The following is a 17289-nucleotide window of genomic DNA, read 5'->3' as shown; positions in this document are numbered from 1 at the left end:
CGAATCTAGTTGACCTGAGGTCTTTCAGGACTAATGACTTGTTCGCAAGGGCGAAACTGGGACTAGAACGTGTGCTAAGTGCTCTTCCTAACATATTATGCTACCACAAGTGGTTGAGAAAAGGACATAATGGCATTAGCAGCTTAAGATATAGGTGGAATAGATGCAAAAATCTCAAATGGCTAATGCCCAAAGTCAACAAGGGAAATGGGTAAATTCACACCTGCTTCTTCTTTATTTATTTAAATTTAAAAACATCTGTCAGGAGACTTTCCAAAGGTTTGCCAATTGACTCAGCTCTATGAGGCAAAAATTAAACATCCTCCTAAGATGAAAATATAATTCCATTGCTAAAGGTCTAGTTTTCTAACCAAGGTGAAACTTTTTGGTAAACTGAATGAAGGAAAGGAAACTAAACATTGAACTTGATTTCCAGCAAAATAGAAAGCAATGAACAGATTTGCTAATGATTCCCCTGTCTCTCACCTGCTGTGAACATACACAAAATGACTAAACTTCAGGAAAGTGCAGTTGTATCCAGAATGAGGCCAGACTTGGTTTATCAAGGAGTGCATATACTTCTCATCACGTTCACAGTAAATACACAGTATCAGGTTCATCATGATATCTCAGTTTAAATTATATCCAAGTATTATACCCCCAAATTGCACATCTAACAAAAGTGGAACTGCTACTTTGAGCACGGATAACACAAAGGCTTCAGGTTCCTTGATGAAGGACAGCATATTTCACCTTGACACCTTTGCTGGCAAATCTCTGAGAGATGAGAGTTTTGGAAATGCTATAAACAGCTTAGCCTTTTCTTAGCATTTTGAAGAGCACATTAATAGCCTGGCCTTTTCTTAAGGGCTTTCTTTTTCCCTTAGCCAAATTTGACAGTTAGAAGTGAACAGTAAGTGGATGGAATCAAAGTCAGTGCTGTGTTTTAAAAGTAGTGTGGAATGGATGTCATCTGGCATTGTCTTCAAAAGACTATAAGAATATTAAGTGGATGTCTCATGAACTTACATACAAAGGATACTCTTCACTTGAGGACAGAATGATAATGTCTCACAGAAGAAAGATGTAATTATAGATGCCCATAAAATTTATTCAGACATGTCTTGGTTTGTAAAAAAAAAAAAAAAGAAAGAAACAGAGAAAAGAAAGAAAGTCTGTAGCTCTCAACTTAACCAAAGGAAGTATATTAGTATAATTAATTTTTAAATAATTAGTAAATACCTACTACAGAATATGTAGAATCTTGTAAATGACAGTTTAGAGAGTACTGTCATTACTACCATTTGGGAAATCTTGTTTCAAAGAAATCAAGGATCATACAGTAATGTAATAAAATTTGCCAATGGATATTAAATAGCCTAGCACCATCCTCTAGGATTTTACATGCTAAAAAAAGTGAAGTGGAAGCTCTTCCACATCAATAGGGTACATGCAAGCAAGTCCCATCCAGTACCCAGAAAAACTGCATAGATTATTTCAAAGGTTGCTTTGAGAATCCACCTAGTTTATCCTCTACCGTGTGGGTCTAAACACACTAAAAAATTGCCTAAGCAGGTTCCTAAGAACAGCCTCTGCTCAGAGGAGGAAAATACCTAGTTTTATTGGATGTCATGGTAGATGGCATTTTCCCCAAATGGCTGCAACAATAGTTCCCAAACCACATTCCCTTCTTAAAAGTTGACTTCAAGCCCTCCAGTGAAGGAGTAGAGTCTACGTCCAACCTTGAATCAGAGTGGATTCTGCACTACTGAGGAAGAGTCATTATGTGATTTTAAGGCTAGGGCATGGATGGTGATAGAGCATCTACTTCGTTCTCTTGTGAGGCTCACTCTTGAAACCCTACTACCATGTTGTGAGGAGGCCCAACCAGCCACAGAGAGAGGTCACAAGTTATGTTCCAGACCATGGCCCAAGTCTGTTCTCAGCCCCCAGCCAACAACCAACAGCTGATGGCTGACAACCAGCATCAAGCACCAGACTAAATGAGCCTTCAGCAATTCCAGCCCCCAGCAGTTGAATCATCCCCAACTTTCTAGTTTTCTCAGCCAAACCACCTCATGTCCCAGGTATCTTGGAGCAGAAATAACTTACTCCACTATGCCCTTCCCAATAAGTAACCCACAGAATCTTTGACCTAATAAAATGGTGGTTGTTTTATGCCACTAAGTTTGGGGTGCTTTGTTACATAACTAAAGTAACAGGGACAGATGGGAATGGGAAGATGCGTGGTTGAAAGCGATGTATGCAGCCATTCCTTGCACTTGCATTATTGCAGCCCTCTTTCATGAGTATACTCAGAGGCTTCCTTCTACACTTCGTGTTGTTCTTCTGCTACAGCCCCTCCTTAGGGAATTAAATCTACTTGTAAGGGTCTCATTCCAAGTGAAATCGGATAGCTCTTAAATGAGAGTAATAGTAACTAACTATTTTGCTTACATTGTGGCAGGCACTGTTCTAAGAGTTTTACATGGATTAACTCATTTAATCCACACAATGACCTTGTAAAGTAAGTACTATTTTCATTCTTATTTTACAAACAGAGAGATCAAAGCATTGAGATTAAACAAGTTGCCTAAGATTATATGACTAGAAAATAGAGCTGAGCTGGGATTTGGAGCCAGGCAACTAGACTCTCCAGAGTCTGTCCACTAACCACTACACATACTGCTTCACAAATCCGGGTTCTAACTCTCTCTCAGGGACATATTAATCTAGCCCCTCCATTTGAATGAGCAAGAATCTTCAGACTGAAAAGGCTCAACAGAGCCATCTTAACATACTGACAATGGTTAACAACAGGCTCTGGAGTCTGCCCGACTCGGCTATGACAGTTACCAGCTGTGTGGCTTTGGGCAAGTCTTGTCACCTGGCCCACTTCATTCTCCCCATCTTTGTGCAAAACAATCATCCATTTTAAACACAAAACCATTGTCTTTGTATGTAAGCAAAAGACACATCCCTTCCTTCTAGACTGTCAGCCTTTTTGGGTCAAGGACTCTGTCTTTCCCATCTGATATGGTTAGCTTTGTGTTCCCACCCAAATCTCATCTTGAATCATAATCCCTAGGCATTGAGGGAGGAATCTAGTGGGAGGTGATAGGATCATAGGGGCTGTTTCCCTCATGCCCTTCTTGTGATAGTGAGTGAGTTCTCATGAGATGTCACGGTTTTATAAGCAGCTCTTCCCCCCTCACTTTTTTTTCTCTCTCTCTCCTGCCACATGTAAGACATGCCTGCTTCCCCTTCTGCCATGATTGTTTCTTGAGGCCTCCCCAGCCATGTGGAACTGTGAGTCAATTAAACCTTTTTTCTTTATAAATTACCCAGTCTCGGGCAGTTCTTTATAGCAGTATCAAAATGGACTAATACACCATCTCTGATTCCTCCAGTGAGTCCAGCCCAGTGCCTTGTACTTAGCTGCAGCTTGTAAACTGAGTTGACTTTTTTTTTTTCTAACTTCTCTCTTACTTTGTCTTTGCATCAAGGGCTTTTAGGATTTGTCTCATTCTCTTCATCCCCCTGAGCAAAACCATAAATTATACCCTACTGAGCCTACTGCCAAAGCTAAGGCTTATTTTCTGCTTCGTCTTCCAAAGGTCTTCCTAATCAGCGGAAAATGCTTTCATAAATGCTCTGATCATGTGTGTATCTTTCTAAGGATATTCTATTACTTTCCAATCATTTTCCAAAGCAATTAAAATTTGTAATTATGGGCCATAAGAGCACCCACTAACTTAACTTCATAGAGGGAACTAGTGAACCCTTCTAAAAAGATATCAGAAGTGTATCACCTTCAGAGAAATGGTGAGAGAATGCTAGAAGAACCATGGAGTGCTGCTTAATTCTCAGGCCTCTTTTCCCAACCATGTACTGTAATTGCTTCTGTCATTGTCTGTCTCCCCCACTAATCTGTGGGCCCTCTTGAAAGCAGGAACTCTGGCTTTTACTTCTGTACCCCAGGACCTAGCCCAATGGCTGGTACAAAGGTGGCACTTCACAAATGTTTACTGTACAAATAACTGAAATCAATGGCCTCGAAATCACTGTTAATGGCAGGACTAGAACTGCAGCCCAGGGCTATCTCTAGAAGATGTATCATGAGTCATTCCTGCATTTAACAAACTTTTTTTGAACATTTGTTGGGGACTAAACACTGGGCAAAGTACTGAGAATAAAACATAGCAAGACTCAATCTTATTGTATAAGACCCAACCTGCACTTATACAGGAGACAAATATGCAAGCACATCATAATAACACATTTATTTTGATAAAAACTATTAAGTACAAAGTTATAAACCATGGGCTGGAGAGGAAATTGATGAAAAGAAAACTGTTTGAGTTAGGTTGAAATAGACTGGATGTGTTATTACTCATTTTTACATGATAACTCAGTACCAGATAAGATGCTAGCATTGCAGAGCAATCACTGCAGCTGACAGGCAGGAGTCATAGGGGCTATGAGGGGTGATAAGATATAGGTAGTCACATGATAGAATCAATATATGAGACACAAAATTAAAGGTGCAAATGCCTAAATAAAGTATGTTAACTTACTAGAATAAGAATTATTTCAGTAACCAGCATGTGGTTATCAATATCTGATCATAAACATATCAAAAATTATACTTTTGGGCTGGCACAGTGGCTCATACCTGTAATCCCAGTGCTTTGGGGGAACAAGATGGGAGGATCATTTGAGACCAAGAGTGGGAGACCAGCCTGGGCAACACGATGGGACCTCATTGCTATAAAATAAAATAGCTGGGCATGGTGGCATGTGCCTATAGTCCTAGCTAATCAGAAGACTGAGGCAGGAGAATTGCTTGAGCCTAGGAGTTTAAAGTTAAAGGGAGCTATAATCACACCACTGCACTATAGTCTGGATGACAGAGATCTTGTCTGTAAAAAACAAAACAAAAAACATAATTTAAAAAATCAGAAATAAGAAACTATAAACGTACTAAATTCAACCATATAAAATGGAATGCACATTAATAATGTACTTGATAATGTAGTGTAAATCAATAGAATTTAACCATTATTAAGGATTTTTAGATTAAATTCAAAAAGAAAACATATTGCATAGACTAATTTATGTTCAACAGGAGCTTGAGAAAAAATGGAGATATTACGCTGTAGTGATGTTTTTCAGAGTAAAGGAGAGGCATTTTTTATTACAGCATAGATTCTTAGCTGCTCCTTTCCACCTCAGCCTCTTTGGTGCTGTCAGCTGTCCTGCTAGTAATCTCACCTCCACGTGCCTCTGCTCTCCTCTTGCACCTGCCCAATAAAATAACATGTTCTATTGGCATTTTCAACTCCATTCCTACACTGAGAAAGCTAAGTGTAGTTAAAGAAAGATCAAAAGCCAGGAAGCCTAGTGCCCCAACCAATTTATGACTTTTACATTTCAGTGTGGCCCTCAATCCTTATGTTTTCCCTGGATCAGCTTCCTCACCCATCACACTCAATGACTATGAAATTCAAGATCTTTATCTCTCTGAAGACCATTCCCTCAGCCCGCTGCCTGACTTCAACAGTAGATAAACTTGCCTTTAGTTCACTGAATAACTTAAAACCACTGGGTGAACTCCCCAGCTTCTCCTGCCCTTTTGTTACAAACTTACATCTTTTTCCACCTTGATCTGCCATTCAGAGACCTAAAAAAAGAGGTGTTTTTCCTCTGCTTCCAGTCAACTATCCTACTTGTGCTGTGGCTATCTTTCTGTTCCCTACCATGTCACTTAGGGCTCTGCTCCATCCTTTGTCCTTCTCTCCCCTAGACAGGTAATTTCTACCTGTCCTAGTTCTTTTCCTTTATGACTGCTGCTCTCCTAATGATGGCAGCAGCCACTCCAGATCGCCTACCACTGCCATCACACCAGCTGCAGCAGGAAGGCATGGCTGGGGCTGCACACTCCATGGAGCTAGTGGGAGCCCCACACTCCCAGGGATAGCTGCAGCTGCCCAAACCAGGGCTGTAGACCTGGGCCTCCCACTTCATGGAACAGGCAGGATCCCCACTCCAACCTCCACCCTACTAGCACACCTGCAGCTGCCCAAACTGCAGCTGTAAACTCAGGTATCCCTACATTCTTGGGGGCCCGGGAAGTCTTGGAAGTGCCTGCTCCCACTGCCTGGCTTCTCCTTGCTGTTGGCACCTGCTCCAATCACAGAGCAAAGTCGGGGCCAAGCCTGCATGTAATGAATGGCAGCAGGAGGCAGACAGGTTCCTGGGCAGAAGGGGGCAGGTCCCTGGCAAGGTCCCACTTTCAGGCCAGGGAGGGCCTGAAGGCTGGGGGCTGGGTTGCCAGTACCATTGACCAGAGTGGGGACTTATGGTGCCTTTTCCGGGCCCACCCTTGGCCACCTATGGACCAACTGGCATGCATTCCTTCCCTCTGAGGCCCATAAAAGCCCTGAGTTCAGCCAGGGCAGAGTAGACGATCGGACAACCAGGTGCAGAGAGGAGCTACCCTCTCTGCTGATAGCAGGAGACGTCAGGATTACCAACAGCAGAGAGAAGCTACCCACTCTAGGGCCTCTTCTCTGCTGAGAGCTTCAGAGACCTGCAGAGATGTTGGGACTACCTGCTGCAAAGAGGAGTAACCCACTCCAGGGCCTATTCTCTGCTGAAAGCTGCAAACATCAGACCAACCTGCCTACAGAGAGGAGCAACCCACTCCACAGCCTCCTCTCTGCTGAGAGTTGCAGAGACGACAGGACAACCTGCCTGCAGAGAAGAGCTTCCCACTCCAGGGTCTCCTCTCTGCTAGGAGCTAAACACTCATTGGGACACCCTGGCTGCAGAAAGGAGCTACCTGCTGCAGGTCTCCTGTGAGCTGTTCTATTGCTCAATAAAGCTCCTCTTCATCTTGCTCACCCTCCACTTGTCTGTGTACCTCATTCTTCCTAGTCGTAGGATAAGAACTCAGGGCTGCCGAATGGCAGGGCTAAAAAAGCTGTAACACAAACAAGGCTGAAACATGACCTTTGCTCGCCATGTTGCAGGAGAAAAGAAGGAGAGAAGAGCTGTGGCCCTTCTGGGACCCCAGGCCTGGAAGATCCCCAAGCCAAGGCTGTTACTTCTTCTTTGAGATCCTGCAGTTCCTGGCATCTCCAGGCTTCTGGGCACCACTGTGTTCCCCACTGCCAACCAAGGAAGCTGCTTCTGGTTCGCCTGGTCCAGCTGCAGCCTTGCAGAGAGCTGGCGCCCATGCCAGCACCTAGAGCTGCCTGCCACACTGCAGCAGCCAGCATGTCTGACTGCCAGTGGCCAGACCCCATGCTTGCTCACACAATCCTTGCTGCTCCACACCTGACTTGCCCTTGGCAGGCATGGGATCCAGGTCAGTAGCGTGAGCCAAGCGCAGCCTGCCATTGGGCAGAACAAGCTCAGTGGGCCTGAGCAAAACTTGGGCAAAGGCACCACTAGCCTGAGGTTTCAGGCCAGAAAACCGATACCCCAAAGATCCCATAACACTAACAGCCTCCCTTGACCGCTAATATCCTAACACCCTCCCATGACTGTGTCTCTCTCTAGCTGTTTTCTTACCCTCTCGAATCTTCTTAAAGACTAATCTACACTTTCAACCTTCACTTTCTCACCCCTACTTTCTCACCCCTTATTTACTCCTCAACTCCCTGCAGTGTCTGCTCCCACTATTCTAGTAAAACACCTACTGAGTGTAGTCTAGTTAGAAGTGTAGAGTTAAGCAGACCCATATTTGACTCCTGCCTTCTACTTTTATCAAGCTGTGAGACCTTGCACATTCTGCTAAATTTTCCTATGTATCAGTGTCCTCATCTCTAAAACAAGGATAATAATGGTAACCAATGTCATAGGGCTCTTGTCATATTAAATATTTAAAATATTAAATTATTTAAAATAATGTCTGCACATGCCATGTGCTCAATAAGTATTTAATATTAACTATTAATATTACTACTAGCAGTAGAAATATTTGCATTTTCATGACTATTATCATTATTGTTTATCAGGCACTATGCTAGGTCTGGCTAAAAATCTTGAACTAAAAAAGAAAATCCTACCAAACCCAAGCAGCCAAGAAAAACTGCTTTGCAATCTCCTTATATAATACATCTGATATCTTGACCTAGGATAACATTTTCCACTTTCAAATCATGATCTGCTCCTAGGAACCTCCTCTCCATACTGATTCTGTATGACTCTAGTTCATTCAAATCACACACACACACACACACACACACACACACACACACGTACGCGTGTGTAATTGATTAGGCAAATTTATCTGTATCATGTGAACCAATATGAAACTATTTCATTTTGCTAACTACAGGAACTTTAATCTACACTGCCTTTGCAGCAACAAAAGTATCTATACCAATGTTCTATACGTAGCTGGTGGTCAATAATTACTGACAGATGTGAGATTCTATTAAAGAACTTAGCCCATTCCATGGTCAGTCACCGTGAGAACAAGAATATTTTTAGCATCATGTTTGAATCCTACCTGACAACTTAGAAACTGCAACAATTTGAACCTACACAGGCAATTAAAAATTCTTTTTATTGCTGCCTCACCAGAAATCATATGTAATGGTTATTGACATTCCATGATTAATCACTAAGAAGGAAAGCATGGGGCACTCGTTCCCTTCCTTCATCTTTCTGCTATTCTCAGTTTCTTTTTGTCACAAGCTGTGCATGTCAATATTTATTTTAATTAGGAAGAGTTAACATAGGCAAAGGTAATTTGTAATAGGTGTGTTCAGTAAGGAACCAAATTGCACAGCAAGATCTTCTGCTAGTGACAAAAACAGCTCCATGAAGGCATGTAATTTCATTTGCCTAACCATTTACTATCCCAGTACTGTTGGTGAGTCTTATTTTCAGTGGAAGTTAGCTGGAAGCCATCTTCCATCTTGGATGGGCAGTGCTTTCACCACTAGGATCTCATGTTGGGATCCTGCAATATAGACCTAATTCTTACAGGATTCAACAATAATCCAAATTACAGACAAAGAAAATACTACCTTTAACATTTGTCCTCTCCTTTTCTATAAATATTTCAAAACAAACTTGGATTCTAAAATTATTCTTAAAACTAGTTGACTAGGGGATGAATAATTCACACATGGAGGGTAAAACCATAGTGGGGATGATGATAATAATGATGATGATTATTATTATATAGCTAATATTTCCTAAACAATTATTTTTACTAGGCCTTATGACAAATACTGAAAATATATTATCTACTTTAATCTTCACAACAACTGTGAGAGGTTGGAATTTGTACTTTTTTACATATGAGAAAACTGAGGCTTAGAGAAGTTAAATAACTTGCCCAAGTTCACACAACTAACAAGACTCAAGGCCGAGATTCCAACCTAGACCTGTCAGAAACCAAGGCCTATTGACATTATAAATTGTATATTTTATTATAACAAATTCTTTTTTATAACCTATATATATATATATTTTTTTTTTTTACAAAAGAAAAAGCTTTAAAGCACTTATAGTTCCATGTGGCTGAGAGGCCTCACAATCATGGTGGAAGGCAAGGAGGAGCAAGTCATGTCTTACATGGATGACAGCAGGCAAAGAGAGAGAGCTCATGCAGGGAAACTCCCATTTTTAAAACCATCAGATCTCATGAGACTTATTCACTATCAGGAGAACAGCATGGGAAAGAACTGCCCCTATGATTCAATTACCTCCCACTGGGTTCCTCTCATGAAACACGGGAATTGTGGGAGTTACAATTCAAGATGAGACCTATTTTTAACCACAATTTATCCAAAATTAGACTTAAGCTTGATTTTATTATCAGTGGTTTACCACAGTAAGTCTATACATTTCCATAATAAACAATTAAGTTCCCTGTTTAAAAAGTGGGAAAAGGACATAAATGGCCAAATGAATAAGTGAAGCAAAGATTAAATTTCAGATGTTCAAAATGAAAGGAAATTCAATTCAACTCAAGAACCAGTGACCAAGAGATGTGGTGTACAAGGCACTGTAAGAACTCACAGATGAAGATAGCATCACCTCTGACCCCAGGAAGCTAATGAGCTAATGGGAAAAATACAGTATAATATTTCAGGTCTTACTTCAAATGTCACTTCCTCAGAGAAGTCTTCAGTCTTCCCTGACCACCCTATCTAAGCTGTGACCCCATTCCCTGTCACTCTCTGTCACAGGGACCAGCAAACCTTTTCTGTAAAGGGTGACGTAATAAATAAGTTAGGCTTTGTAGGCCATACAGTCTCTGCCAAAATTACCCAACTCTGCTTTTGTAGTGTGAAAGCAACTATAGATCATAAGTAAATGAATTAACAAGGCTGTGTCCAATAAAACTTTATTTATAAAACAGGCAGTCACCAGATATAGCTCATAGGCTGTAGTTTGCTGACCCCAACTCTAACATATGTTTTCTTCCTGCATAGCACTCAACAAAATCTAAAATTATCTCATTTATTGATTTGTTTACTGTCTATTTCCTGCCACAAAAATAGTAGCTCTAGGAGAGTGGAATCTTTGTTGCTGGTTCACAGCTAGCTCTTCAGTGCACAGAAAGGAGTTTCTGACACAGAGATAGTTCTTCTAAACATCTGTCAGCTGACTAAATGAATAAATACCATTTTGCTAAAGGAGAAACACGAATGCCAACCAACACAAGAACTATACTTAGCCTTACTAACAATAAAAATACAATAATGATATACTATTTTCCACTTGTCACGCTTTTAACCATTAGAAGAGGAGGAGGAAAACTAGTGTAGATGGGCTGGGCTCAGCGGTTCACACCTGTAATCCCAGCACATTGGGAAACCAAGGCAGGTGGATCACTTGAGGTCAGAAGTACAAGAACAGCCTGGTCAACATGGTGAAACCCTATCGCTACTAAAAAAAAAAATTAGCCAGGTATGGGGCGCTTGCCTGTAGTCCCAGCTGCTCGAGAGGCTGAGGCAGGAGAATCACTTGAACCCAGCAAGTGGAGGTTGCAGTGAGCCAAGATCACACCACTGCACTCCAGCCTGGGTGACAGAGCAAGATTCCATCTCAAGAAAAACAAAAAACAAACCCAGAAAACTAGGAGAGATGAATATGTGGGTAAATGGTCCTCTCATCTACTATTGATAGGAGAGAAATGTTGGTGCCACATTTCTGGAGGATTAATTTGCTGTAATATATCAAAATGTATATACCAATTTTAAAATGGGTGAATAATTGAAGAGATATTTATCTAAAGAAGATACGCAAATGGTCAATAAGCCCATGAAAAGATGCTCAACATCATTAGTCATTAAGGAAATGCAAATCAAAATCACAATAAGATACCACTTCACACCCACTAGGATGACTACTATTAAACACACACACACAAACAGAAAATAAAAAGTCTTGGAGAGAATGCAGAGAAATTGGAACCTCTATGCATTGTTGGTGGTAGTATAAAATTGTACAGCTGCTCAGGAAAACTATTTGGAAGTGCTTCGAAAGGTTAAACATAGAATTACCATATGATTCAGCAATTGTGCTAAAGATTTGAAATCAAGGCTTCAGATTTGTACACTAACGTTCATAGCAATATTACTTACAATAGCCAAAAGTGGAAACAACCCAAATGTCCAGTAACAAGTAAATCCATGAAGAAAAGTGGTATATACATACAATGGAATATTAGTCCATCTTAAGAAGGAATAAAATACTAGGACATGTTACAACACGGATAACTTTAAAAACATTATGCTAAGTGAAATAAGCCAGACACTAAAAGACAAATATTGGATGATTCTAATATGAGATACCTAGAATAGACAAATTCGTAGAGACAGAAAGTAGAATAGAGGTTACCAGGAGCTGGGGTGGTGGGGGAGGAGGAATTGAGGAGTTATTGTTTAATGGATATAAAGTTTCTATTTGGAATGATGAAAAGTTCTGGACAGTGATAGACAGCGGTGACGGTTGCACAACATTGTGAATATACTTAAGGCCACTGAACTGTACACTTAAAATGGTTAAAACTTTAAATTTTATATTATATATATTTTATAATAAAAATGTACGTATACTTTTTTACTCCAAATCCAATCCCTAAGAATTAATTCTGAAGAGGTAATACAGAAGAATGAAATATGTATGTACTAAGATCAATCAACTGCAGAACCCATCAATAAAGATCTAGCTATGTAAATGGCACCTGACACAACAAATACGTAAAAGAAACCATTATGCAGGCATTAAATATGACAAAGTAGACTTTTCACATAAAAATTATCCATAAAATTATTATTCGATGAAAAAAGCAAGTGACAGAATGCATGTAAAGTATGATACCATTGGTATAAAAATTCTAAAGTTTATCTGTACATAGGGAAAATTCTAGATATACTCTAAATATTAATAGGGGTTATTCTGTGAATTGTAGATTTGAGGTGACTTTAAAAATTACCCTCTTTATAGTTCTTTGTATTAGTTGAATGTTTTTTGAACACATAATTTTTTTAACCAAAATAATGTGTTATTGTAAACTCATGTTTATCACTTTTTCACATTAATAAGGAGGGTTAGGCCCTTGATACTTACAATTAGATGTTTTCTATATTTCCATTTCATAGCAATAATACTTGTGAGTGAATTAGATACAATTTTAAAGGAGAAATACATACCTCAGATAGTGGTGTTGGCTCTTTATCATTCAAAAACAGAGATGCTATTTCAGAGCAACATTGAATAATCATGTCCTAGAAATAAGAAGATAGTAATACAGTGAGGTTGATATTATTAGAAACCTAAATATTACCTATTTAATTATAAACTATTTCATTTGTCTTTTCTTGATCATTACCTAACCTTTGTTCCCAGGATAAGACAGAGGGCTCAGAAATCATAACCCCTTAAGTAATTAGGCTTTTTTGAATTGTATCTAATTGTACAAAATAAGATTTTGAAAATAATTATTTTTCTAAATAAGATTTTGAAAAATTACTTTTCTTCTGAGAAGAGAGCCCTGGAATGAAGAGTTTCAGATCCCTGAAAGGGCTTGCAGCAGAGAAGAATGACTGGAAATTATGGAAGACAGGGGAAGAGCGAATGAAAAGGAAGAGAGTCAATAGCATGATGACACTGCCCACAGCCCTGCTGCATGGATGCAGCCATGTTCATGTGTGGACACCCAATCCACAAGGGACCTACCCACAGACAGGTTGAATCTGTCAGATTCCCTATCATATGATTTTATGTAAGGAAGAACAACAGAAGAGACATACAATCAGTATTGACTGCATGAGCTGAAAGGTCCACATGCGGAGTTGGAGAAGGCAGCCATTAGGCCAATGTGGGAGAAGACAGAGGAGAAGATAGAGACGAGTGAGAACCCACGCCACCTGCAGGACTGAGCACAGTCTTGGCTCCTGATCCGCCAGTTCAAATTTCTGTGACTCCACTGTTTCAGGTTCCAGTCTTTGTCTATGCATGACCATACTCAACTCATACTGACAAACACTACCTCCCTACCAAACCTAAATGACTTGAGTTACTGTAAGTAGTTTTTTCCTCACTTACAACTGAAGAAGTCATAACTACATAATTGTCAGAGATTAACTATGCCTACTTCACAATGTTGCCAGTGTCTGGTAATGAAGAAAGCAAAAATTTGCTTTTCTGATAATATATATAATATATAATTATATATTAATAATATATTAATATATAATTATATATTATATATTAATACGTATTATATATAATTATATATTATATATAACTATATATAATATAATATATTACTATGTATTATATATAATTATATATTATATATAACTATATATAATATAATATATTACTATGTATTATATATAATTATATATTATATATAACTATATATAATATATTACTATGTATTATATATAATTATATATTATATATAACTATATATAATATATTACTATGTATTATATATAATTATATATTATATATAACTATATATAATATAATATGTTACTATGTATTATATATAATTATATTAAATATAATTATATATAATTATATATAATATAATATATTACTATGTATCATATATAATTATACATAATATAATATATTACTATGTATCATATTACACATTATATATAATCACATATAATTGCACACTATATATAATCACATATAACTGCACACTATATATAATCACATATAACTGCACACTATATATAATCACATATAACTGCACACTATATATAATCACATATAACTGCACACTATATATAATCACATATAACTGCACACTATATATAATCACATATAACTGCACACTATATATAATCACATATAACTGCACACTATATATAATCACATATAACTGCACACTATATATAATCACATATAACTGCACACTATATATAATCACATATAACTGCACACTATATATAATCACATATAACTGCACACTATATATAATCACATATAACTGCACACTATATATAATCACATATAACTGCACACTATATATAATCACATATAACTGCACATTATATATAATCACATATAACTGCACATTATATATAATCACATATAACTGCACATTATATATAATCACATATAATTGCACATTATATATAATCACATATAATTGCACATTATATATAATCACATATAATTGCACATTATATATAATCACATATAATTGCATATTATATATAATCACATATAATTGCATATTATATATAATCACATATAATTGCATATTATAATTAATCATATATAATTGCATATTATATATAATCATATATAATTGCATATTATATATAATCATACATAATTGCATATTATATATAATCATATATAATTGCATATATAATATATCATATAATATTATATAATATATCATAATATTATATAATATATTATATAATATTATATGATATATTATATAATATATTAATATGTATAATATATAATTATATATTATTTATAATTATATATTATATAATATATTAATATGTATTATATAAGAATTATATATTATATAATATATTCTGTTGTATATTAATTTATATATTATAATATGTAATATATTATATATTATATATTTATATATAATATATTTAATATATACTATATTTAATATATAACATATATCATGATATATTATCATATAATATATTTATATAATACATATAATCTATATTATATATTATATATTATATATAAATTATATATATAATATATAATATATTATATATTTATATATCATGATATATATTATATATTATTTACATATATTATATAATATATAGTAAATAACATATATGGTATATAATATATATTATATATTATATATGTTTGTTATATATATTGAATATATATATAACAATATATTGAATATATATAACTATATGTATATTCAAGTATATATATTGTAGACTATATATATTCAATATATATATTGTCTTCTATATATATATGTCTTGAATATATTTGTTAAATTGAATTGAATTATCTATGGTTTTAGAACCCTGAAATTTGGCCTTTTCCTTGTTTTTGCATTTGTTTAAACTTAGATATAATGGAGTTTTGGGGCTTTGAGTTCAGGTGTTGTTTGCTTTTTTATTTCAAGGTTTTAACCAGTATTGCTTAGTTATTTAAAAATTAGTGTAATTTTATCATTTTAGTATTCTAAATGCTGGTAAATGTGTGTGTATATATAAAATATATATAATATATTAATATCTATTATTAATTTCTATATTAATATATTGTTATTTATTAATTTATACATTAATATATTATGTTATATATTAATTTATATATTAATGTACTATGTTACATATTTATATATGAATATATTCTGTTATATAGTTATATATGAATATATATTGATATATTCTGTTATATATTAATTTATATATTATAAATTATATTATATACTAATTTATATATTTATATATTATAATATGTAATATATACTATGTTACATAATATGTAATATATATCATGATACATATTATTATGTAATGTGATATTTATATAATATATTATATAATCTAATTAATATATAATATATATCGTGATATGTTATATATAATATATTATAGCATGATATATATAATATACAATAGGGTGATATATATTATATATTATATCATATATAATATGTAAATAATATATGTATATATAATTATTATAGGTAAATATAGTATATATAATATATATAATATATAGTAAATAATATATAATATGTTATATAATATATAATTATGTATGTTATATATGTTATATAATATATATAATATATTATATTATATATAATATAACATATATTATATATAATATAACATGTTACATATTATATAATACAACATGTTACATAATATATAACACATGTTACATAATATATAATATAACATGTTACATAATATATAACATGTTATATAATATATATTATATTATATATATAATATATTATATTATATATAATATAACATGTTATATTATATATAATATATAATATCTAGGATCCTAGATGTGGGAGAGAATATATATATATATAATATGTATATAATATCTAGGATCCTAGATGTGGGAGAGAATAATTCTTAGTAGTAGAAACATGGAAGACTTCCTGGAGGAAGGGTCATAAGAATTGAGCCTTGAAAAAAATAGTGCAACTTCAACTGGTAGAGATTGGGGACCAGGGCATTGTGGGGCGCGTAGGGTGGGGGGAGTCACACATAAGCAATGAACAGGGGACATTCAAGGAACACAAGGAATTTGCTGATATGGTGATATGATCCTCATTGCAGGTGTGTATAGGAACCATGGCAGTGAGAGTTCTCACCAGAGAGGTAAATTTTTAACAGGTCATGTAAAAGTAAGGAATTTGGATTTTATTGTATAGAGAATAGAGCAGGACTGGACTGAGGGAATAATGGTAGAGATTGCTTTGAAAAGATAATTTGACCACAGTTTAAAAGTGAACTGCACTGGAAAGAGACAGAGAAATCAGCTAGGACACCACTCAAACAGTTTGGGTAGGAAGTGATCACGGCTAGAAGTGGGCCAGCTTCTATGGGTCTAAAAATGATGGAGGACAGGCAGACTACCCAGCACTAGTCAGGGTACACCAGTGTCCTCTGCTGATCTTGCCAGGTCCCTGGTCCACTTTTCCAGATAGAGGGGAACATACATCCACTCCTATATACCCCTTATTTATCTGTATTTCCAATTGAGTGCTTAGGTAAGGTATGCTTTCTGTCTAAATAAAAGATTTCA

At 35.7% G+C, this 17289-nt stretch overlaps 1 protein-coding gene across 2 annotated transcripts in view; it reads right to left on the bottom strand.

Annotated features, from left to right (window-relative positions):
* The window catches only part of CFAP54 (cilia and flagella associated protein 54), a 385979-nt gene that overhangs the window by 33781 nt on the left and 334909 nt on the right, over positions 1-17289 (bottom strand). For both annotated transcript variants that reach the window (NM_001367885.1, NM_001306084.2), the window contains one exon: positions 12687-12761. In NM_001367885.1, the coding sequence (NP_001354814.1) occupies positions 12687-12761 (75 nt within the window). The remainder of the gene's footprint in view (positions 1-12686; positions 12762-17289) is intronic.

This window comes from Homo sapiens, chromosome 12 (genome assembly GCF_000001405.40).
Source record: "Homo sapiens chromosome 12, GRCh38.p14 Primary Assembly".
NCBI classification, from domain to species: Eukaryota; Metazoa; Chordata; class Mammalia; order Primates; family Hominidae; genus Homo; species Homo sapiens.
The sequence above is the reverse complement of the archived record's forward strand: the minus strand, read 5'-3'. Positions and strand labels throughout refer to the sequence as shown.